The sequence below is a fragment of the Homo sapiens genome, chromosome 1 (genome assembly GCF_000001405.40).
Source record: "Homo sapiens chromosome 1, GRCh38.p14 Primary Assembly".
In the NCBI taxonomy this organism is placed as follows: domain Eukaryota; kingdom Metazoa; phylum Chordata; class Mammalia; order Primates; family Hominidae; genus Homo; species Homo sapiens.
In genome coordinates this window covers 235,284,624-235,310,396 of record NC_000001.11, presented here as the reverse complement: position 1 = coordinate 235,310,396, position 25,773 = coordinate 235,284,624, and the positions used below count along the sequence as shown (strand labels likewise).

General features: G+C 41.8%; 1 protein-coding gene and 1 pseudogene across 9 annotated transcripts in view; one reads left to right on the top strand and one right to left on the bottom strand.

Annotated features, from left to right (window-relative positions):
- Positions 1 to 25,773, top strand: part of ARID4B (AT-rich interaction domain 4B) — a 161,278-nt gene that overhangs the window by 17,783 nt on the left and 117,722 nt on the right. The gene's annotated exons all lie outside the window — the stretch shown is intronic.
- On the bottom strand, positions 14,014 to 14,537 carry RPL23AP23 (ribosomal protein L23a pseudogene 23; annotated as a pseudogene).

Below are 25,773 nucleotides of genomic sequence, written 5' to 3'. Positions count from 1 at the left end.
AGTAAACTGAACCATGCTGCCTCTCTACTAGTTATTATAAATAAATAATAAAGTTGTTGCCATTTAGTGACTTTTTGATGGCTTTATTGAATAGTAAGTGTAGTTTACAAACCTTTTGCCTACTTACTTTGTTGAAAAAGTTTTAAATTTAGAATTTACTTGTATCATGGTATGAAACATTTTTATGTAAATTTCCCTGTTTCTTTTTTTTTATTTTTTTTTATTGATCATTCTTGGGTGTTTCTCACAGAGGGGGATTTGGCAGGGTCATAGGACAATAGTGGAGGGAAGGTCAGCAGATAAACAAGTGAACAAAGGTCTCTGGTTTTCCTAGGCAGAGGACCCTGTGGCCTTCCGCAGTGTTTGTGTCCCTGGGTACTTGAGATTAGGGAGTGGTGATGACTCTTAAGGAGCATGCTGCCTTCAAGCATCTGTTTAACAAAGCACATCTTGCACCTCCCTTAATCCATTTAACCCTGAGTGGACACAGCACATGTTTCAGAGAGCACAGGGTTGGGGGTAAGTAAGGTCACAGATCAACAGGATCCCAAGGCCGAAGAATTTTTCTTAGTACAGAACAAAAGGAAAAGTCTCCCATGTCTACTTCTTTCTACACAGACACGGCAACCATCTGATTTCTCAATCTTTTCCCCACCTTTCCCCCCTTTCTATTCCACAAAACCGCCATTGTCATCATGGCCCGTTCTCAATGAGCTGTTGGGTACACCTCCCAGACGGGGTGGCGGCCGGGCAGAGGGGCTCCTCACTTCCCAGTAGGGGTGGCCGGGCAGAGGCGCCCCTCACCTCCCGGACGGGGCGGCTGACCGGGCGGGGGGCTGACCCCCCCACCTCCCTCCCGGACGGGGCGGCTGGCCGGGCAGAGGGGCTCCTCACTTTCCAGTAGGGGCGGCCGGGCAGAGGCGCCCCTTACCTCCCGGATGGGGCGGCTGGCCGGGCGGGGGGCTGACCCCCCCACCTCCCTCCCGGACGGGTGGCTGCCGGGCAGAGACGCTCCTCACTTCCCAGACGGGGTGGTTGCCGGGCGGAGGGGCTCCTCACTTCTCAGATGGGGCGGCTGCCGGGCGGAGGGGCTCCTCACTTCTCAGATGGGGCGGCTGCCGGGCGGAGGGGCTCCTCACTTCTCAGATGGGGCGGTTGCCAGGTGGAGGGTCTCCCCACTTCTCAGACGGGGCGGCCGGGCAGAGACGCTCCTCACCTCCCAGACGGGGTCACGGCCGGGCAGAGGCGCTCCTCACATCCCAGACGGGGCGGCGGGGCAGAGGTGCTCCCCACATCTCAGACAATGGGCGGCCGGGCAGAGACGCTCCTCACTTCCTAGATGGGATGGCGGCCGGGAAGAGGCGCTCCTCACTTCCTAGATGGGATGGCGGCCGGGCAGAGACGCTCGTCACTTTCCAGACTGGGCAGCCAGGCAGAGGGGCTCCTCACGTCCCAGACGATGGGCGGCCAGGCAGAGACGCTCCTCACTTCCCAGATGGGGTGGCAGCCGGGCAGAGGCTGCACTCTCGGCACTTTGGGAGGCCAAGGCAGGTGGCTGGGAGGTGGAGGTTGTAGCGAGCCGAGATCACGCCACTGCACTCCAGCCTGGGCACCATTGAGCACTGAGTGAACCAGACTCCGTCTGCAATCCCGGCACCTCGGGAGGCTGAGGCTGGCGGATCACTCGCGGTTAGGAGCTGGAGACCAGCCCGGCCAACACAGCGAAGCCCCGTCTCCACCAAAAAAATACAAAAACCAGTCAGGCGTGGCAGCGCGCACCTGCAATCGCGGGCACTCGGCAGGCTGAGGCAGGAGAATCAGGCAGGGAGGTTGCAGTGAGCTGAGATGGCAGCAGTACAGTCCAGCTTCGGCTCGGCATCAGAGGGAGACCGTGGAAAGAGAGGGAGAGGGAGACCGTGGGGAGAGGGATAGGGAGAGGGAGGGGGAGGGGGAGGGGGAGCCCCTGTTTCTTAAAAATTAGAAAAAATCAGGCTGGGAGCGGTGGCTCATGCCTGTAATCCCAGCACTTTGGGAGGCCAAGGTGGGCGAATCACTTGAAGTCAGGAGGAGTTCATGACCAGCCTGGCCAACACAGCGAAACCCTGTCTCTACTAAAAATACAATACAAAAATTAGCTGTGCATGGTAGCATGTGCTTCTGGTCCCAGCTACTCAGGCGCTGAGACAGGAGAAGTGCCTGAACCTGGGAGGCGGAGGTTGCAGTGAGCTGAGATCAGGTCACTGCACTCTAGCCTGGGCGACAGAGCAAGATGCAAGACTCTGTCCCCCTCCAAAAAAAAAAAAAAAAAAAAAATTAGAAGAAATCATATGAAAAAACATAAAAATGAACGACAGTGGACTTAGTTCTTCTGGGAGAACTTTGCTAGCTTGAAAATTAGTGTCAAGCTGGACAGGTGGCTTGTGCCTGTAATTCCAGCTACTTGGGAGGCTGAGACAGGAGGAGCTTGAGCCCAGGAGCTCAAGGCTGCAGTGAGCCTTGATTGCACCACTAGATTCCAGCCTGGGCGACAGAGCGAGACTCTATCTCTAAAAGAAAGGAAAATTAGTATTATAAATTAGAAAATTAGAGGCTTTGTACAAAGCTTTGAAGAGTTAATATTTTAAAGTAGGAGAAAAATGAATCCTCTGGTTATATTGCCACAAGTAATTTTGCGTTGAAACACTGTGGCCCATATAGCCTGAAGAGACTTTGAAAGGTCATTTGAGCCCTTGAGTTCAGAACCTATCTCTTCTGCCAAGTGATGACACAGAATATGATCTAGCTCAGAAAAGTTTTACAATCTGGGTGGTTTGTCTCTCTTTTTCTCTCTCTCTTTTTCTTTGGCTGAAGAATCTTTAGAACAGTCAACCTTCTCTTAAATTGCAAGTTTCCTTTGGCCATTTGAAACATTTTCTTTTTTTCTTTTCTTTTTCCTTTTTCTTTTTTTGTAAAGAGACAGGGCCTAGCTCTGTCACTTAGACTGGAATTTAGCGGTGTGATCATAATTCACTGTAGCCGTGAACTCCTGGATTCAAGGGATCTTCCCATCTCAGTCTCTTGAGTAGCTGGGAATACAGGCTTGCGCCACCACATTCAGCTAAGTTTTTTATTTTTTTGTAGTGCTGTGGCCTCACTGTGTTTCCCAGGTTGGTCTTGAACTCCTGGCCTCAAGTGACCTTCCCTTGTTGGCCTCCCAAAGCACTGGGATTACAGACATCAGCCACTGCACCCAGCCAGACATTTTCTATTTACTTGTATGGACTTAATTCTGTCTATCCCATTCCCCCTTCCCCCATTATAATTTTTTTTCTCTGTAATTTGTAGGTACAAGTTCTTTCTCTCACTGAAAAGCTTTCCAATTGTAGTTTTTCTGCATTGATGGAGGTAGTGAAGGGGAGGTTCAGGTAATTTACAACTATTGTAAACAGTTTTTATTTGGCATGGTACAGTGTCTAATGCCTGTAATCCCAGCACTTTGGGAGGCTGAGGCGGGGAAAATTGCAAGTTTACTTTGAGTTTGAGACTAGCCCGGCCAACATCGCGAAACCCTGTCTCTACCAAAAATACAAAAAAATTAGCCGGGTGTGGTGGTGCACACCTGAAATCCCAGCTGTTCTGGAAGCTGAGGCGTGAGAATCGCTTGAATCCGGGAGGTGAAAGTTGTAGTGAGCTGAGGTCACACCACTGCACTCCAGCCTGGGCGACAGAGGGAGAGACTCTGTCTTAAAAAAAGAGATTTTATTTAAGGGATCATACAGAGCCCTAAAATTATATATTCACATTTGGAATGTTAAGCAGATGCTTTGACATGATATATTATAAATCTGTAATAATAAATAGTAGTTAATCCTCATATACTTTAGTAATTAGCACAGTCCAATTTTTTTTTTTTTTGAGATGGAGTCTCACTCTGTTGCCCAGGCTGGAGTGCAGTGGTATGATCTCGGCTCACTGCAGCCTCTGCCTTCCATGTTCAAGTGATTCTCCTGGCTCAGCCTCCCGAGTAACTGGGACTACAGGTGTGTGCCACCACGCCTGGCTAATTTTTTGTATTTTTAGTAGAGACGGGGTTTCACTGTCTTAGCCAGGATGGTCTCGATCTTCTGACCTTGTGATCTGCCTGTCTCAGCCTCCCAAAGTGAGCCACCGTGCCCAGCCAGCACAATCTTATTTTTTAGTAGGCATGTAATTTCTAAATTTGTCTTTATTGCTAAAGTAACATCCCATTTATCTCAAACTAACTGTCATCAGTCTTGTCTTGTTCTGAAATAGCATTAAAATATTTATCACACCAGCCTCTTTCCTGGTCATCATGTTCTTTATGCTGTAATTATTATTGTTTTTGTTATTATCATATGATAATTTTGCCACTGCTTATTCAGTGCTTAATATATGTCAGTCTTTTCTTACATTATATGTAGTTTTTTCTTATTTGAAGACAGAGTTTCTTGCTCTGTTGCCTGGGCAGGAATATAGTAGCGTGATCATGGCTGACTGTAACCTTGACCTCTTGGGCCCAGGTGATCCTCCCACCTTAGCCTCCTGAGTAGCTGGGAGTACAGGTGTCCACCACCATGCCTGGCGAATTTTTAACTTTTTTCATAGAGACAGGGTCTCACTATGTTGCCTAGGCTGATCTTGAACTCCCCGGTTCAAGTGATCCCCCTGCCTCTGCCTCCTAAAGTGCTGGGATTATAGGCGTGAGTCCCCGTGCCTGGCCCATTTAAAATTTTAATTCTCAAAATACCCTGAGAGGTACATAGATATATTCTTATTTTACAGATGAAAAACTCAAGGCCGAGAGAGATTATATAATTTACCTAACTAAGGTCATGCCACTAGTAAGTGGCATAGTGAGGATTTAAACCTAAACTACTTCAAACCAGAGCTCCTACTAATATTAATGCTGTTTCTGCCTCTTTAATATATATCTTTACTTGGATATCTAGTTTTCTTAGTACACAGAACATTTAGAAGTGCCAAATACTGTGTGAGTTGTTAGTTGTAAGTGTATGTGTGTTTTTATGTGTGTATCGAGAGGGAGGAGTTTTGAACAAATCCGGAAGTCAGAGGTCTGACGTGGGTCTCACTGGGCATTTCTTCTTCAGGCTCTAGGGGAGAATTGGTTTCCTTGCCTCTTTTCCAGCTTCTAGAGGCTGTATTTCCTCCTTTGCCTCTGGTCTCTCCTATTTTCAAAGCCAGCAGCCTGGTGTCTTCAAATCTGTCTCTGACACTATCTCTCCTGCCTCCCTCTTTCACTTATAAGTATCCTTGTGTTTATATTAAATAGGGCTCACCCAGATAATACAAGCTAATCTCCCCCTTTCAAGGTCAACTAATTAGCAACTCTGATTCCATGTCAGCTTTAAATTTCCCCTTGATAGATAACATTTTCACATGTTTTGGAGATTCGGATGTGGTCATTTTGTGGGGAGGGGGAGTGCATTCTGCCTACCAGAGTTTCCTTAGTGTGGCAAAATGATTTAGCTTCTTAGGCCTCGCTATAAAATGAGATTAGTATTTACTATTTACCACAAAGGAATTTTATGAAGATGGAAATTACGTACTAATACAGACAGGCCATGCATAGAATACACTTAATTAGCAGATGCTTTCTGCTTGATCTTATCTGCTAGGTATATGCTTGTGGTGATGGGTAGTCTCCAAGGTAACCACTGGGTTTGATAAACTCCAATTTGAGTGCCTGACTCTTCTAAAGGCAGATGTTTGTTTTAGAATTCAGCCTTTCCAGACCTTTGCATGATGAGGATGGTGATGATTTATAGCACAATGGTGGAAAAACAGATGAGTGCCCCTTAACTCTTAATTTGTTTTATGATTTGAATCTGTCTTAATCTCTAAGATACAGTTCACTTTTTAAGTAGGCAGCTTTTCTGTTTAACATGATTTTCTAAAGGATTGCTATAGAAGATAATGAAAAGGGACCTTGAGTAATTGCACTTTTAAATCACACAAGATTGTTTTGTATGTGCTCAGATGGTATTTTTTGAAGTTAATGTTGTCATTTCTTTTCTTTTTTTTTATTTTCGGGACAGGGTCTTCCTCTGTTGCCCAGGCTGGAGTGCTGTGGTGTGATCTTGGCTCACTGCAGCCTCCACCTCCTGGGCTCAAGTGATCCACCCACCTCAGCCTCCCAAGTAGCTGAGACTACAGGTGTATGCCACCACGCCTGGCAAGTTTTTTGTAGAGGCAGGGTTTCACCATGTTGCCACGCTGGTCTCAAACTCCTGGACTCAAGATATCTGTCCACCGCAGCCTTCCAAAGTGCTGTGATAATAGGCGTGAGCCACCGTGCCTGGCCTAGGCAATTTACTTCTTTGAGTTTTATTTTCAGTATATGAGAAATGTGGCTAATAACATTTACTTCATTGCTTGCTTTGTTATTAAATATGATGATGCATGTAAAATACTCATGTTTGGTTTATATGTGCCAAAAAAAAATACCTGTAATATATTGTAGAGTTAGGGATGAACCACTTTACTAAATGTCTCCAAATAACCAATTTCTAATAATTTAGAATATGTAGTATAGCTAGTGTGCATTGCATTATGATAAAAGAGTGCTTATTACCTGTGCACCTAATTTTTGGAAGTCAGATTCATATAGCTTTGGTTAATCTTTGTTCTTTTTACATTTTATTGTATTTTAGACAGGGTCTCGCTGTGTTCTGCAGGCTGCAGTGCAATGGCATGATCATAGCTCACTGCAGCCTTGAACCCCTGGGCTCAAGTGATCCTCCCACTTTAGTGTCCCAAGTATTAAATAGCTGGCATTACAGACATGTGCCACCATGCCTGGCTGTTTCTCGTTTTTTTTAGAGATGGGATCTCACTATGTTGCCAAGGCTGGTCTCGAACTTCTGGCCTCAAATGATCTTCTTGCCTTGGCCCCTCAAAGTGCTGGATTACAGGAGTGAGCTACTGTGTCCAGCCTAATCTTCGTTCTTGGAGTCAAGTTGTGTAGGCTTTGTTTTTTGCTTTGCTTTTTTTTTTTTCCCCCACCTCTAGTTTTTAATTTAAAAAAGGACTGGCTTTTAGAACCACTGGAAAATATTTGTTTTGGGGGCAGTGTCTTTAGATAACATAAAATTCAGGAATACAAATTTTGGGTGGAAGATAGTACAGCGTCATTGGTTAAGAATATAAACTCTCTGGCCGGGTGTGGTGGCTCAGGCCTGTAATCCTAGCACTCTGGGAGGCCGAGGCAGGCGGATCACAAGGTCAGGAGATTGAGACCATCGTGGCTAACACGGTGAAACCCTGTCTCTACTAAAAATACAAAAAATTAGCCGGGTGTGGTGGCGGGCGCCTGTAGTCCCAGCTAGTCGAGAGGCTGAGGCAGGAGAATGGCGTGAACCCGGGAGGCGGAGCTTGCATTGAGCCGATCGCGCCACTGCACTCCAGCCTAGGCGACAGAGCGAGACTCCGTCTCAAAAAAAAGAAAAAAAGAAGAATATAAACTCTCAAACTGAATTCTAATCCTGGCACTATTACTTACTGCCTTGTGATGTTAGGCAAGTAATGTAACCTTCTGTGATGCTTAAATTTTAATCTTGTCTGAAATGAGGACAATGATAAAATGTACCTCCTACTTTGGAAGGATTGAATGAGGTAATCCATGTAAAGCATTTAGCATGGCCTCTACTAAGTGACCCACAGCAGTTATTAGTAATGACAAATAAGAGAAAGGAGAAGCAGTGGGCAGGTGTTCAAGTGCTAACGTGTATTGTTTAGAGCAGTGTTATCAATAGGAGTATAATGCAAGCCATGTGTAATTTTAACTTTTATAATAGCTGTATTAAGTAAATAAAAAGAAACAGGTGTTGAAATTCATTATGATAATGTTTAATTTAACCCAGCATATCCAAAACATTGTTATTTCAACATGTAATGATATCAAAATTATTGAGATATTTTACATTTTTTAATACTATATCTTTGAAATCTGGTGTATATTTATACCTATGGCATGTCTCAATTTGGATACTAAATTCTTTCTGTCTTTCTGTCCCCACTCCTTTCCCTCCCCTCCCCTCCCCTCCTTTCCCCTCCTTCTCTTCCACTTCCCTTTCCCTTTTTCCTTCCTTCCTTCCTTCCTCCCCTCCCTCCCTTTACACTTCCCCCTCCCCATCTCTTTCCCCTTCCCCTTTCCCTTCCCCTTCCCTTCCTTTTCCTTGTTTCTTTGTTTTTTTTTGCTGTTTTTTTTTTTTTTTTTTTTTTTTCCGTTTTTTGAGACAGAGTCAGCCAGGCACAGTGGCTTATGCTTGTAATACCAGCACTTTGGGAAGCCGAGGTGGGTGGATCACTTGAGCCTAGGAGTTTGAGACCAGGTTGGGCAACATGGCGAAACCCCGTTTCCACTAAAAATATAAAAGAGTTAGTTGGCTGGGCGCGGTGGCCCATGCCTGTAATCCTAGCACTTTGGGAGGCCGAGGTGGGCGGATCACCTGAGGTCAGGAGTTTTGAAACCCCCTCTCTACTAAAAACACAAAAATTAGCTGGGTGTGGTAGCAGGCACCTGTAATCCCAGTTACTTGGGAGGCTGAGGCAGGAGAATCACTTGAACTTGGGAGGCAGAGGTTGCAGTGAGCTGAGATCAGGCCACTGCACTCCAGCCTGGGTGATAAGAGCGAGACTGCATCTCACAAAAAAAAAAGAATTAGTTAGGCAAGGTGGTGGGCACCTGTGGTCCCAGCTACTCCGGTAGCTGAGGTGGGAGGATTGCTTGAGCCTGGGAGGTGGAGGGAGGTTGCAGTGAGCTGAGATTGCACCACTGCACCCTAGCCTGGGCCAGGGCAAGGCCACCCTGTCTCAAAAGGAGAAAAAAAAAAAAAAAAAAAAGAAATAGGGTCTCACTCTCACCGGCTGGAGTACAGTGGTGTGATCACAGCTCACTGCAACCTTGACTTTCTAGGCTCTAGCGATCCTCCCACCTCAGTCTCCCAAGTAATTAGGACTACAAGTGTGTGCCAGCACGCTTGGCTAATTTTTTGTATTTTTTGTAAAGACAAGGTTTCACCATGTTGCCCAGGCTGGTCTCAAACTCCTGGGCTCAAGCGATTCTCCCGCCTTGGCCTCCCAAAGTGTTCAGATAACAGGCGTGAGCCACCACACTGGGCACTAAATTTTCAGCAGAGATGCTTGTTCTGTATTTAGATTTAATAAAATTTACAGTAGAAAAAGTAGATTCGCCTGGGTGTGGTGGCTCACGCCTATAATCCCAACACTTTGGGAGGCTGAGGCAGGAAGATTGTTTGAGCCCAGGAATTCAAAACCAGCCTGGGAAACATAGTGAGACCCTGTCTGTATACTAAAAAAAAAAAAAAAAAAAAAAAAAGAATACTTAAAAAAATGTATTGTTGGCTGGGCGTAGTGGCTCACGCCTATAATCCCAGCACTCTGGGAGGCCGAGGCAGGCAGATCATGAGGTCAAGAGATTGAGACCATCCTGGCCAATATAGTGAAACCCCGCCTCTACTAAAAATATACACACACAAAATTAGCTGGACGTGGTGGCATGCACCTGTAGTCCCAGCTACTCGGGAGGCTGAGGCAGGAGAATCGCTTGAACCTGGGAGGTGGAGGTTGCAGTGAGCTGAGATCGTGCCACTGCACTTCAGCCTGGCTACAGAGCGAGACTCTGTCTCACAAAAAATAAAAAAAAAAGTATTCTTGTAGTTCCTTTTTTCTCCTTGCAAGGCATCTTTAATGTAGAATAAGCTAAATATAGTAATAATAATAATAATTAAAAATGATGAAGTTTATTGAGTACTGCTTTGTATGTGTTATGTTGTCTTCTAAGCACAGATATCTCATTTAATCTTCATGATAGCACTATGAGAATACTTTAATTTTCCCTGTTTACAGATAGGGAAAATGGGGACCAGAGAAAGTTATAGAGCATAGAGTTGAACTCAATTTTGACCTCCAGAGTCTGTTTTTCTTTTTTTTTTTTTTATGAGACGGAGTCTCATTCTGTCGCCCAGGCTGGAGTGCAGTGGCATGATCTCGGCTCACTACAACCTCCACCTCCTGGGTTCAAGTGATTCTTGTGCCTCAGCCTCCCAAGTAGCTGGGATTGCAGGCACCCGCCACCCCACCTGGCTAAATTTTGTATTTTTTGGTAGAGATGGGGTTTTGCCATGTTGGCCAGGGTGTTCTCGGACTCCTGACCTCAAGCGGTTTGCCCGCCTCAGCCTCCCAAAGTGCTGGGATTACAGGTATGAGCCACTGTGCCTGGCCCAGAGCCTGTTTTTCTGACAGTCACACCGCTTATTGGTTGCTGGATAGAATGAAAAAGCAAATGGAAGTACCTCTCCCCACCAGTAGTTTTTCTGGGTTTCTTTTATGGGGGAGCGAGGGTAGAGTAACATGTGGGTAGAGGGACAGTGTTTCAGGAACCCATTTGGATATTTAAGAACAGGACTAAATACTTAAATTACTTCTGTGACAATAAAAAGATACCCAGGAAGCTACACTCTTTTTTAGTTCTATATTTTTTGCATCATACGTTTAAAAATTGGTTGCTCCTAAATGAAGCTTTAGAATCCTTTGCAAGATAGTACTACTGCTTCAAGCAGCTAACCACCAATGAACAAGAATTATGAGTTCAAACTCTGGCATAGACCAACCCCCTAACTTGGATCTCCTAACTCATAATCCAGAGTTCTTTTCCAGAGAACTGCTCCGCTTTTAAAAACCAGTGCCAGGATTCAGATCTCAAATGATACCATTAAACACTGATAGGCAAGAAGCATTTGTTTCTATGAGTAAATAACTCTCTGATGTATTAGAGGCTGGTGTTAATTTTTGACTAGGCTGAACTCTGAGCGTTTATTATTTCTTCAGGTATTAAACCTTCAGATAATTTCAAAAACACAGTTTAGGCCAGGCACAGTGGCTCACGCCTTTAATCTGAGTACTATGGGAGGCAGAGGTGGGTGGATAACAAGGTCAGGAGTTCAAGAAACCCCGTCTCTACTAAAAATACAAAAAATAGCTGGGCGTGGTGGTGGGCTCCTGTAATCCCAGCTACTCGGGCGGCTGAGGCAGGAGAATCGTTTGAACCCTGGAGGCGGAGGTTGCAGTGAGCCAAGATCACGCCATTGCACTCCAGCCTGGGTGACAGGGCAAGACTCTGTCTCAATAAAAAACAAAACCAAACCACAGTTTATCCCTTAGGAAAACACCAAAAAGCTTCTTATGTACATGAACTTGTATTAGGGTCACACTTTAAGGTGGCTCTAGAAAGTATAATGAGAGACTTACAGTAAGACTGCTTTTTTTTTGACGTGGCATCTCACTTTGTTGTCTAGGCTGGCTTGGAACTCCTGGGTTCAAGCCATCCTCTTGCCTCTGCCTCCCGAGTAGCTTTACAGGAGGATTACAGGTGTATGCCACTGTGCTGGGCTGAGACTGCAGTTTTTAATGAATGAAATGCCACTGTGCTGGGCTGAGACTGCAGTTTTTAATGAATGAAATGCCTCTGTGCATGGATTGAAGCCAGCTTTTATGGCAAACATTAACAGTATGGTTTGGTTCCCCATCTCTGTGCCCCTTGAGTTATAACTTAAATTGTTCTGATTGTAGTATTAACTGTGATTAGGTGTTGATGAAAGAGATATGGAGTTCTAATTAAGTAAAATGAAGATCTCAAATAAAATTGAAGTAGAATGAAACGCTATATGTAAATACAATTCTGCTAAACAAATATTTAACTGTGGATAGGCACAGTGACTTTATAATGCAGATAGTCATTTTCATATATATGGATATATATAAATATACATTATATTCATATATATGGATATATATAAATATACATTGTATTCATATATATGGATATATATAAATATACGTTATATTCATATATATGGATATATATAAATATACGTTATATTCATATATATGGATATATATAATGTAATACGGTAATTGATTTTTAGACTAAATATATAAGTTGAAACATAACATTTTCTAATTTTTGGAAAATTAGTGGTGTTAATTCTGGAGACTAGTAAAAATAAATGATTAGAGACGAATACACTTCATGGTAACAAACATGCTGGTGATACAGCTTTAAAACTTTATGGAAATTTACAACATACAAAAATAAAGTTCACTGATGTTTTACATATTCATGGCCTAGCATCACCAGTTGCCAATATTTTGCCATCTTGGTATTATCTGTTTCACTCTGCTGCCCCTCTTCTCTCCTTTCTCCCTCACCATGTAGCATTTTAAAGCAAATTCCAGATATCATTTCACCCATATGTATTTCGGTATGTATCTCTGACACACTTGAACTTTCCTTTCATAGTACAACTGTCATACCATTGTCACAATGAATAACATTAACATTAATTCCTTAATGGCATCTGGTAGCAAGAACATGTTCAGATTAGCCTGTCTCTAAAATGTCTTTGCAATTTGTTCGTTTACATTAGGACCCAAATAAAGTCTTCATATTGCAGTTGGAAGATACGGTTCTAAATGGTCTCTTAAATCTCCACCCTTTTCATGCCCTTTATTTGATGAAGAAACTGTTATTTAACCTGTAGAATTTCCCACATTCTGTTTGGCTGATTACATCTTTGTGGTTTGGTTTAACCCCTGTAATTTCCTGTAAACTGAACATTCGTTCTAGAGGGTATTTTTTTTTGGTGAGCATTGTTTATAAGAGGTGCTGTATTCTTTCTATTAGTTACCATCATGAGGTTGGTTCACTTTCAGTATTGCTGGGATTGGTCAGTGGTTTTAGATTATGTTGGCTTGATCTATCCTTTATAAAGTTCTTATCAACTTTCACACAAAGGTTTTCGCAGCATCTGAGGATTGTTGACTAGATCCATTATATAAGGATTGCAAAACGGTGATTTTGGAATTATATCACTCCTACATTTATTAGTTGAAATTCTTTTGTAAAGAAAACTTTTATTTCATGTATTTACTGTCTTTAAAATCTAGAAGTGGAGGCTATAAAAATTTAATTCCTCTCCCACCTCGTTTTGCCAGTTTTTATAATAATGAGTTGGTGTCCTAGGAACCCACTAAAACGACCAGTAAATTTTTCTTCTTTCTTTTATTATTTTTAGTGTTAGGGATTTTTATGTATGTGATGTGTTTTAATCCATTGTAGTTGCTGTTTTTCATGTTTCAATTGTCTCATCTTTGGCCAGTTGGAACCCCTTCAGATGGGTTCCTGTGTTCTTTTGAATATTGTCCCATCGGTTTTCAATAACTTACTCTCTTTCTGGCACAAGGGATATCAGGTTCACTTTGTACATTTCCTGCTCCGCATCTGGAATCAGCTATTTCTTTAAGGAACCCTGGTTGCTGAGACATTAATGACATCAAATATATATATAAAAAGAAAAGAACAAGTAGCCCTGGTTTTCTCAAGTGGGAAATGGTTTTTAGAGATCACAATCAGGGTGTTAAGGGTGCTCATTGCTGCTGGGTTGGTCATGACTTCTATGGTTTTTTAGTATTTAGATACAGGAAGTACTCTCTCCCTTCCTTCCCTCCCTCCTTCCTCCCTTCCTTCCTTCCTTCCTTCCTTCCTTCCTTCCTTCCTTCCTTCCTCCTTTTTTTTTTTTTTAATTAGAGTAAATTATGGCTGGGTGAGGTGGCTCACTCCTGTAACCTAAGCACTCTGGGAGGCTGAGGTGGGCGGATCACTTGAGCCCAGGAGTTCGAGACTAGCCTGGGCAACATGGCAAAACCCTGTCTCTACAAAAAGCTCAAAAAAATTAGCCAGGCATGGTGGTGTGTGCCTATAGTCCCAACTACTTGGGAAGATCACCCGAGCCTGGAGGTCAAGGCTGCAGTGAGTTGAGATTGTGCCACTGCACCCTAGCCTGGGTGATAGAGTGAGACCCTGTCTCAAAAAAAAAGAGAAGAATAAATTTTCAATTCATACTGATATTTCCAGTTTTCATGAAAAATTACAGAGGTTTTGTTTAACTTATTTTATGATTTATTTATTTATTTTATGGTGAAAAATATGTCTATTTAGTGTTAGCCAGCTGGGCTCACTTTAGATGATCCCAATTTTGTTGGCAACGTCATCATAGTCAGGAACCGGTAGAACATGGGCCTTCTTTCCATCAGGCCTGATCAGGGTGTTGATATTGGCCATGTCAGTGCCACAGAGCTTTTTCTTAGCCTGTTTGATCTGGTATTTGTTGGCCTTGACATCCACAGTGAACACAAGAATGTTGTTGACTTTCTGTTCTTTTCATGGCTGACTCAGTGGTCAGGGGAAACTTGATAGCATAGTGGTCAAGCTGGTTTCTCCTGGACTGGACCAGTCTTCCAAGGATATTTGGGCTGCCTCCAGAACAGCAGCAGTGTTTTGGGCTGTCCTTAGGTGGGTGACGTGAAGATCTTCTCTTTTTTGTGTGGCTGTGGATACGGATACCTTTCAGCACTGCTGTTTTGGCCTTTAGAGCCTTTGGTTTGGCTTTGACGTTGGGAGAGCAGGGGCTTCCCTCTTTGCCTGTGATGCCTTCTTGATGAGTACAGCCATGTAACTTCTTTTATAGTTGTGTCTTTTTTTTTTTTTGGGACGTAGTCTCGCTCTGTTGTCCAGGCTGGAGTGCAGTGGCGTGATCTTGGCTCACCGCAACCTCCACCTCCCAGGTTCAAGCGATTCCCCTGCCTCAGCCTCCCGAGTAGCTGGGATTATAGGCACCCTCCACCATGCCTGGCTAATTTTTGTATTTTTAGTAGAGTCAGGGTTTCACTATATTGGCCAGGCTGATCTCGAACTCCTGACCTCCGGATCCGCCTGCCTTGGCCTCCCAAAGTGCTGGGATTACAGGCGTGAGCCTCCGTGCCTGGCCTTTTTTTTTTTTAAATTGAGATGGAGTCTTGCTTTGTCCCCCCGCAGGCTAGAGTGCAGTGGCATGATCTCGGCTCACTACAACCTCTGCCTCCCAGGTTCAAGCAATTCTCCTGCCTTAGCATCCCAAGTAGCTGGGATTACAGGCACGTGCCACCATGCCTGGCTAATTTTTGTATTATTATTAGAGACCAGGTTTTGCCATGTTGGCCAGGCCGGTCTCGAACTCTGGACCTCAAGTGATCTACCTGCCTTAGCCTCCCAAAGTGGTGGGATTACAGGCGTGAGCCACTATGCCCGGCCTATATCATTTTTTATCTTATGCTAAAAATGTTGGTTCCTAACAACATTAACATTATATTATACATATAACACATATTAGCTTTGAGATAACAATACCATAATGTAGTTTGAGATTCCTTTGTCTGTCTATTTACATCCTTAGGCTGTATTCCAGTAGGGATGTAAGCTCAGAATACTTTTTAAATGAAAATAAAATTTTATAAATTTTAATAAAAAATAATATTTTAAATAAATATTAATATTTAAGATACTTGAAATAATAATTCTCTGTGTATTTATGTCAGCAGTTGAAAATAGAACATTTACTTCAGTTTGGTTTTGGTTTCTAAGGAGTGCTGTTTTTTCCTTTTCAATTTTTTTGATGTAAAATATTTACATGGTTTCAAAATGTTGAGCATATTTTTAAAAAGATATGGCTGGGCACGGTGGCTTGCGCCTGTAACCCCAGCAATTTGGGAGGCTGAGGCGGGCGGATAACTTGAGGTCAGGAGTTCAAGACCAGCCTGGCCAACATGGTGAAACCCCGTCTCTACTAAAAATACAAAAAATCAGCCGGGTGTGGTAGCAAGCGCCTGTAATCCCAGCTGCTCAGGAGGCTTGAACCCCTGGGTTCAAGCGGGAGAATTGCTTGAACCCCTGGGTTCAAGCGGGAGAATTGCTTGAACCCCTGGGTTCAAGCGGGAGAATTGCTTGAACCCCTGGGTTCAAGCGGGAGAATTGCTTGAACCCCTGGGTTCAAGCGGGAGAATTGCTTGAACCCCTGGGTTCAAGCGGGAGAATTGCTTGAACCCCTGGGTTCAAGCGGGAGAATTGCTTGAACCCGGGAGGCGGAGGTTGCAGTGAGCCGAGATCACACCTCTGCACTCCAGCCTGGGTGACAGAGTAAGACTCTGTCTCAAAAAAAAAAAAAAAAAAATGCTGCTGGTTTGCATATCATTATTCTGCCCATATCCTATCAGTAACGAAAGAGGTATTATTTTACTGTATGTTTTTACTTAAAATTTAATTTATGCTTACATTAATTTTTAAAGGTTCAGATTTGAAAGTCCAGTGTCAATTTTCCAGGTGGCCAGGTGGTACTAGATGTCAGTAAATAGTTCTTGTTTATATATTGCGTTTTATAATTTTAAATATTTTACTGGGTTTTGGACATATTGTATGTCAATAGAAGGCAACTGGAACTCTAATTTTAGAAACTAAGATTATGATATTTGTAGATGATCAGTTTTACTCCTTGTAGTCCACCCCCTCCAATTACTTAATAACTATTTTAAGATGTTTTACAGTCTAATATACTGAAATTTCTGACATAAAGTCAGACTTCCAGATTACATTGCTTAAATTTGCCAAACTAGGCATTTTTCTGGTGGAGGAGAAAGGAATCTTTTCCTAAAAGTCTGGTATATATATATTTTTTGCTTAATGCCTAGTTACCATGGAAATAGATGTTAGAATCAGCTCTTAAGTAGGTAGGTAGTGACAAACTGGCTGTATTGCTGAATTGAGTTGCTAGACTGTATTTGGCCCTTTCCTGCTTTCATCTTTCCACCTTCTCTTTCATCATTTTTTTTTTTTGGTTTATGTGCTTTTTAGAATATTCTATATAGTTAAATCCAAACTTGACTTAACCTAGGTTTGAGCAACAATTTGCTTTTGCTTACAATTTATACTATCTATAGGTAGACATTTTACCTCATATTTACATATGTATAGTATAAGTAGATAATTGTACTGACTTGGCACATCAGCTGTTAATGCTTTTAAGAAAAGGTCTGGAAAGACCTGTAACAAGTTAATAGTGATGGTCTCTAGCTGGTGACAGTATAGAAAATGTTTAATGTCTACTTTGTGAAGTTACAATGTTTGGTTTTTAAAATGAGCATGTACTACTTCATTATATAAAATTTTTTTACTTGTAGAAGTTTGTGTTAATGATCAGTATTTAAAATATAGTAAAAAATAAGAGAGGAAAAGTGGAAATCCTCTAGTAGCATATATTTTTTTGGCCTTAACTTTGACGTTTGTGTGATGTTGATCTTTAGTTACTGCGCTTCGGTACTGAGGATAGCAGCACCTATGTCATAGTGTTGCTGAGATGAAATGAGATTACTAAAGCATAATGCTTGGCACAAGGGGAGCAGTTAATAAAATAGGAGCTCTGGTTTTTGTGGATCTTAGATTTGCTGCCCTGTAGGTTTTGGGAAGGAGTAGTCTGGCTCTACAGGAATGAGGAATGTATTGTGGAGTCTTAGAAGAGCTATCTACGTATTCATTTGAATCCACAACCTTCCCTCGGAGCTTTCTTCTTGACTATGTAGTTCTACTTTAGCTTTTCTCTTCTGTCAGTATATTTCTAGTCATTTCCAGTTTTCTGCTCAGCAGAGACTTTGGGGTCCATGTTGTACCTGTTCTGTTACTGTTACATAAAAGTAGATCTATAAATTTATCTTGTTAGTAATCAAAAAAGTTAAAGTTCAAGTTTTATGCATATTCTGGATGAGTTTTACCTTACCCAACCTTTAATTTGGTCATGTGATTGAAAAAAAGATTTTTTAGGGGTTCCTTTTCCTATCACTGTAGATGGAAAATTTGGAATTTTTTTTTTTTTTTTTGAGACACAGTCTCACCCTGTCCCTCAGGCTGGAGTGCAGTGGCATGATCTCAACTCACTGCAGCCTCTGCCTCCCGGGTTCAAGCGTTCCTCCTGCCTCAGCCTCCCAAGTAGCTGGGATTACAGGCATGAGCCACCACAACTGGCTACTTTTGTTGTATTTTTAGTAGAGATGGGGTTTCACCATGTTGGACAGGCTGTTCTTGAACACCTGACCTCAAATGATCCACCTGCCTTGGCCTCCCAAAGTGCTGGGATTACAGGCGTGAGCCACTGCACCCAGCCAAAACTTGGAATTTCTAAGAGCCTTTATTAATTTGTAAATCAGTAACATTGGAATTGAATATTTGAAACTGGAACTGTCCCCAGAATATTGAGGATGCAAAGTTTCTGTAGGCACAATTCTTCACAAAGGCAGACTCTTGGGGACAATCAGGATGATTGCAAAATCATATGAAATATAATATGTAACGAAATGAAGAAGCAAACAACTTACATTATAAGTTGTATCTGTATTATTAAAGTCCAAATATCCTAGTTTAATTTTTTGAATATTCAAACATATGGCTGAAAAGTTTTAAAAAATACTTATAAAAGAATATAGTAAAAACCCTTTCATCCTACCTTTTACCTCCAATTGTTAAATTTCCCTTCTTTCTGTACAGTCATTGTTTTTGTGTATTGTTTCCACACGTAGAAAGGCAAACACAAGTTTGCCGTCTTACTTCCCTATCTCTCCTACCCTTTACTTTCAGCTTGTAAATTACACACACTGTTCTGCACTTTTAAATTTTGTCACTTAACACATCTGGGAGATGTTTGTGTTATTATTACATAGAGATCCCCTCATTTGTGGGTGTTTTTTTGTTTGTTTTGTTTTTGTTTTTTTAAGACAGTCTTGCTATGTCACCCGGGCTATTTTTTAGTATTTTTTGTATTTTTTAGTAGAGACGGGGTTTGGCCACGTTGGCCAGGCCAGTCTCAAATTCCTGGCCTCAAGTGATCTGCCCACCTCGGCCTCCCAAAGTGCTGGAATTAACAGGTATGAGCCACCACGCCTAGCCTTGTGTGTTCTTATTAACAACTTTTATTGAGGTATAACTTGCACACCAAAAAAATTAAACCATTCTAAGTGTAAAAATCAAGGAATTTTAGATTCATTTTTAATTAAAAATTTATTTTATTTATTTATTTATTTATTATTTTTTTGAGACAGAGTCTTGCTCTGTTGCCCAGGCTGGAGTGCAGTGGTGCGATCTCAGCTCACCGCAACCTCTGCCTCCCAAGTTCACGCCATTCTCCTGCCTCATCCTTCCGAGGTAGCTGGGACTACAGGCACCCGCCACCATGCCCAGCTAATTTATTTTTAATTTTTTTTATTTTTAGTAGAGACGGGGTTTCAACGTGTTAGCCAGGGTGGTCTTGATCTCCTGACCTGGTGATCTGCCCACCTCCGCATCCCAAAGTGCTGGAATTATAGGCGTGAGCCACCACGCCTGGCCTATTTTCTTCTTTTAGAAACAAATTGTTACTCTGTCACACAGGCAGGAGTGCAGTAGCACTATCATAGTTCAGTGTTAACCTCAAACTCCTGGGCTCAAGCAATCTTCCAACCTCAGCCTCCTGAACAGGTGGGACTGCAGGTGTGTGCTACCATGCCCAGCTAATTAAAACAAATTTGTTTGTACAGACACGGTAGCACTATGTTGCCTAGGCTGTTCTTGAACACCTCCTCTCAAGAGATACTGCCACTTGGCCTCCTGAAGCTCTGGGATTACAGGCGTAAGCCTCCACACCTGGCTGTTATGGAATTTTTGTAAATGTCTAGGGTTGTTCACCCATCACCACAGTCCAGTTTAAGAATATTTTTGTAATCCTTAAAAAGTTGTCTCCCCGTCTCTGGTCTTTCATGCCCATGTCCAGCTGCAAACAACCAGTTTCCTCAATTGTTTTTGCAGTTCTGTATAGGACAGATGTATAAGATTTACGATGTAACATAATTTATTTAGCCACACCCCTATTTTTGGACATTTAGGTTGTTTTTGACCTTTTGCTTTTACAAACAGGTCTGAGATGAGGTAACTTTGTACATATATTATTTCATACATCTGTAAGAGTATCTGTAGGATTAATTCCTAAGAGTAGGGTTACTGATTAAAGCACATGTGCTTTTTTTTTTTTTTGGTGATGGAATCTCATTCTGTCGTCCAGGTTGGCGTCATCTTGGCTCACTGCAACCTCTGCCTCCCTGGTTCAAGCAGTTCTCCTGCCTCAGCCTCTGGAGTAGCTGGGATTACAGGCATGCACCACCATGCCCCGCTAAGTTTTGTATTTTTAGTGGAGACAGGTGTCACCATGTTGGCCAAGTTGGTCTTGAACTCCTGACCTCAAGTGATCTGCCCGGCCTGCATTTTTTATTTCTATAATCGTTTCCCGTTCAGGTTATACAGATTTACATTCTCAGCAGCAATATGAAGGCTAACATTTTCCCATAACTTACCTGCCGTGTACATTACTAGACTTCTGAATTTCTGAATTTTTGCCAATCTGATAGTGAAAAATGGTGTGGGTTTTTTTTTTTTAGAGATAGAGTCTCACTATATCGTCCAGGCTGGAGGGAGTGTAGTGGCATGATAGGGGCACACTGCAACCTCTGTCTCCCAGGTTCAAGCAGTTCTTCTGCCTCAGCCTCCCAAGTAGTTGAAACTATGGATGCGTGCGAAAAATTGTGTTTTGAATTGTTTTTATTTAGTAGGTTTTACATCGAATTTATGAATGAGTATGAGCATCTTTTCAAGTGTTGAGTCCATTGTAATTCTTTTTATATGAAATATCCTTTTATGTCATATGCCCATTTTTCTGTTGAATGGTTGGCTTTTTTTTTTTTTTTTGAGGCAGAATCTCCTTCCTGTCCCCCAGGCTGGAGTGCAGTGGTCCAATAACGGCTTACTGCAGCCTTGAACCTCCCAGGCTCAAGTGATCCTCCCACCTCAACCTCCTGAGTACCTGGGGCTACAGGCACATGCTACCATGCTGGCTAATTTTTAAATTTTTTAATAGAGATAAGGCCTCACTATGTTGTCCAGGCTGGTCTCGAACTCCTGGGCTCAAGCACCTCACCTACCTCGGCCTCCCAGTGTTGGGACTATAGGAGTGAACCACTTTGCCTGGCCTGAATGGTTGGTCTCTAAAAAAAATTACTGATTTTAGATGTTCTTTATGTATGAGAGTCAAGCTCTTTAGTGATGTGAATTATAAATAACTTTTTGTAGAGTTTGTCATTTATATTTTGATATATTTGCTTTGTGTATTTTTTTGCCATTGAGCAATTTTTTAATGGTTAAATTTATCAATATTTTATAGCTCCCAAACTTTGAGTTAATTTACTGTTTGAAGTAAGTCATACATTGAATTCCCTTCCAGGATCATAATTTATTATGTCACTTTGAATTTAGCTGGACTTTTGGCCAGACCTACTGACTTGCATCTGTGATGAATAACTTTGAATATATGTTATCTCACACATGTGCAAGTATAGCTATTGGATGAATTTGGCCATTTATTCCTGGGGCCAGGGTTGTGTGTTTTTAATTTTGGTAATTATTGTTGAATAAATGGATCTTTCAAGACTGTTAAGATATTGCATTGCTAATAACTGGTGCAGAAATTAATGGTGATTTCTGTTCAAGATGCCAGATTGTTAAACTCCTCTAGGATTAGAAAAGTTTTGGTTGAAAATAGAACACTTAACTGTAACTAAGAGTCTTCTTTTTTCATTATGTGTTGGCCTTTAAGGCACCAGAATTATACTTCAGAAATTCCTTGGGAGAATTTGGGTTATGTCTTAAAATAAAAAATGTTCATGTTCTTTGTGCTCCCTTTTGATACCTACCCAGAAGCAGCCCATGTACAGGTGCACAAGGAAGCTGGCATGAATATGTTTGTGGCTGCCCTCTTTAATAGGGAAAAACAGAAAACCACTTAATATCACCAGTAGAGGACAAGCTAAATAACCATGGCAAATTCCTACAATGGTTATAGCACAAAATTAATTCGACAGTTTGTGTTTACTGATGTAGAAAGATCTCTAAAACATTTTTTGAATGAAAGAAAAGTTGAAAGACAGTATATTAAATGTAGTACCAGTTATGTAAAAATAGATTCACAGAAATGTTATTAAATATGGATACATGTACGTGTATGTAAGTGAAGGTCTGGAAAAAACCTGGAAGAACATATGCCAAAATGAGAATAGTGATTATTAATGGGAATTGAGTGTAGTAATTTAGGACTTACTTTTTTTTTTTTGAAATGGAGTCTCACTCTGTTTTTCAGGCTGGAGTGCAGTGGTGCAATCTCAGCTTACTGCAATCTCCGTCTCCTGAGTTCAAGCAGTTCTGCCTCAGCCTCCTGAGTAGCTGTGACTACAGGTGCCCACCACCACGCCTGGCTAATTTTTATATTTCTTTAATAGAGAAGGGGTTTCGCCATGTTGGCCAGCCTGGTCTTGAGAAATTCCTGACTTCAGGTGATCCACCCGCCTTGGCCTCCCAAAGTGCTGGGATTACAGGCATGAGCCACTGCGCCCAGCCACATTAATGTTTTATTATTTTTACAAGGATAATATGCTCATAGACTGTACAACTAAAGGCCAATTTAAAATTTATTTGGAAAAAATACATTGTTTTGTACATAGGTCCCTGTAAAGGCAGAGTAAGACTGGAAAAATACCCTAAATAAGGAGACAGTAGTTATGTCCCCGAGGGATGTGGGAACAGAGAAGATAAAAGGAGACATTTGCTTTTTGTATACTTCTGTATTTTTATAGTTTTATAAAGCAAATGAATTCATGCATTAATTTGTATGCTGAAGAAAGGACTAAATTCTTTAGGACCAGGAATTCATGTAAGAGTATCTCATTTTGTCAAGCTTATTTAACAGTACTTAGTGAAAATAGTAGCTGCCGGTTGAATTACTGGGTAGAGAATAAAGGTGTCAACAGAAATAGTTTACTAATTTGCTGATAATTAGGCATTAATTTGCTTGATGTGATGCATGTTTATTACTTTAGGGCAAGTAGAAAAATAAAAATAAGTAGATTCTTTCTCATATACCATCATGAACACTGGTAGTTTCTGGTACATTCAAGACAGAACACACAATGAGACTGTTCTTGCCCTGTAGCCTCACCTGGAATTTCCTTTTGTCTTCTGCTTTGTTACTACAACCTCCCCTGCAGTTTGGGTGTCTCTCTAGTTCTCTTTTCTTTGTTTAGTAGTCTGGGATCAGATCTGCTCTTCTGAAATAGAAGTCAGCAGTGAGGAGAAAAAAGGTAAAAAAAAAAAATTTATTTTTTCTGAGACAGAGTCTTACTCTGTCGTCCAGGCTGGAGTGCAGTGGCACGATCTTGGCTCACTCCAGCCTCCGCCTCTTGGGTTCAAGCAATTCTCCTCCCTCAGCCTCCTGAGTGTCTGGGACTACAGGCACCTGCCACCACGCCCGGCTAATTTTGCATTTTTAGTAGAGACAGGGTTTCACCGTGTTAGCCAGGCTGGTCTCTAACTCCTGACCTCAAATGATTCACCCACCTCACCCTCCCAAAGTGCTGGGATTACAGGCGTGAGCCACAGTGCCTGGCCAAAAGGTAAAATTTTTAATCCCTTTATTCAGTTAGTCACTAAATGTGAGAATGTCTTTACCCAGTTCTTCTCTCTCCATCCCAGCATTAGTGCAAGCCATTGTATCTCATTCTAGATTATGGTAGCAGATTCCTAACTGATCTGTCTGATTCAGCCTTGTATTTGTACATTGGTATCTGTTTTTCACATTGCAGCCACAGTGATCTAAGACATCAGATAATGTAACTCTTGCTCATAAAACTTTGTAGTAGTTCTTCTCCTGTTGCTATCAGGCCTTGCTTCTCCAGAACTCTGGCTATGGTCATTAATAATTGCAGCTTTCTATATTGTCTACTTTCCTCATGCACTATAGCTCTTCTCCAGAATCTATATTGTTTCTCATTTCAACCCATCAGAATTCTTTTACTAGATTACCAGTCATCCTTCAGGTATCCTTCTCTGAGATCCTAAGATAGATTTACGTCCTTCTTCGTGCTCCTCTTGTGCAGAATCTGACCATAGTAGTTAACTTCATATGGTAACTTAACTGTTTAACAGATTCCTCCACTACACTCCATGAAAACAAAGACTGAGTTTTAAATCAAGTCTCTGGTTCCTAACCAGCACCTGATACATTATAGGCTTTAGTTTAAATGTATGAATAAGCCTGGGTGCGATGGCTCATGCCTGTAATCCCAGCACTTTGGGAGGCCAAGGTGGGAGGATCACTTGAGTCCAGGAGTTTGAGACCAGCCTGGGTAACATAGTGAGACCCTGTCTCTACAAATTATCAAAAATTAGCTGGGCATTGTGGTACATGCCTGTAGTTCTAGCTACTTGGGAGGCTGAAACAGGCTAATTGCTTGAGCCCAGGAAGTCAAGGCTGCAGTGAGCCACAGAGCTCAGCTTGAATAACAGAGGGAGACCCTATCTCAAAACAAAACAAAACAAAACCCAAAAGCCAGAAACAAATGTGTGAATGAGCGTTAACTCAGTCATTTTTTCTCTCATATCATTTTTTTCTCTTGTTCTTTCCCTACCTAGTAATTAATAGGTTGTGGCTCAGTTTGAAAAACACTTGTGTAAGGAATCCTGATTTACTAGTTAGAACTCTCAGAATGAGAACTCTCTGCCAGATCTCTAAATATTTAGTAATTTTTTATTCTGTTGTTAATGGTATTTTAAAAATTCAATTTCTGATTGTTGCTAATGTATAGGAATCCTATTGACTTCTCTATATTGTGTATCCTGTGATCTTGCTAAAACCACCTATTGGTTACAGCAGGATTTTTGTAGATTCCTTTGGATTTCCTTGGTAGCGGATCATGTTGTCAGTAAAGGCAGCTACTATTCTTCATGTCCAATTCAAATATCTTTTCTTTCTTGATTGCATTGGCTCTCCAAAACAATGCAGAATAGAAGTGGTGAGGTGGATATCCCTGTCTTGTTCTTAATTGTAGGGAAAAGCATTCAGTCTTTCACCGTTAAGTATAATGTTAGTTGCAGATTTTTCATGGATGCCTTTTGTCCGATTGAGGAAGTTTCATTCTGTTCCTAGTTTGCTGAGAGATTACATCAGGAGTGGCTTATGGATTTTGTATTAATAAAATGCATTTTCTGGATATATTGAGGTAATCTGTTTTTAAAGTTTGTTGATACGTTAATTACACTCATTGACTTCTGAATTTTAGAACAATCCTCCATTTCTACAATAAATGCACTTGGTCATGATATATTACCTTTTAGAACATATTGTTGGATTCTACATGCTAGAATTTTATTTAGAATTTTTGGGCTGGGCGTGATGGCTCACACCTCTAATCCCAGCACTTTGGGTTGGCTTAAGTCCAGGAGTCTAAGACTAGCCTAGGCAACATGACAAAACCCTGTCTCTGCAGAAAATAAATTTTAAAAAAAGTCAGCTGGGTTTGGTGGTCTGCACCTGTAGGTCCCAGCTACTTGGGAGGCTTGGGAGGCTGAGGTGGGAGGATCACTTGACTTCAGGAGTTGGAGGTTGCAGTGAGCCAAGATGGCACCACTGAACTGCAGCCTGGGTGATAGAACAAGACCCTGTCTCCAAAAAAAAAATATATATATATTGTTTGCATTTTTGCTCATGAGGGATATTGGTCTGTAGAGATGTGGTTTTGCTATGTTGCCCAGGCTGGTCTTGAGCTCCTGGCCTCAAGCAGTCCTCTCCTCTCAGCCTCCCAAAGTGTTGGGATTATAGGCATGAGCCACCATGTCCAGCCTCTAGTTTTATTTTCTCATAATGTCATTATATATCAGAATAATGCTGGCTTTGTAGAATGAGTTGGGAATAATTCCAAATTTTAATTTTAGAGATGGTATCTTGTTATGTTGCATAGGCTGTT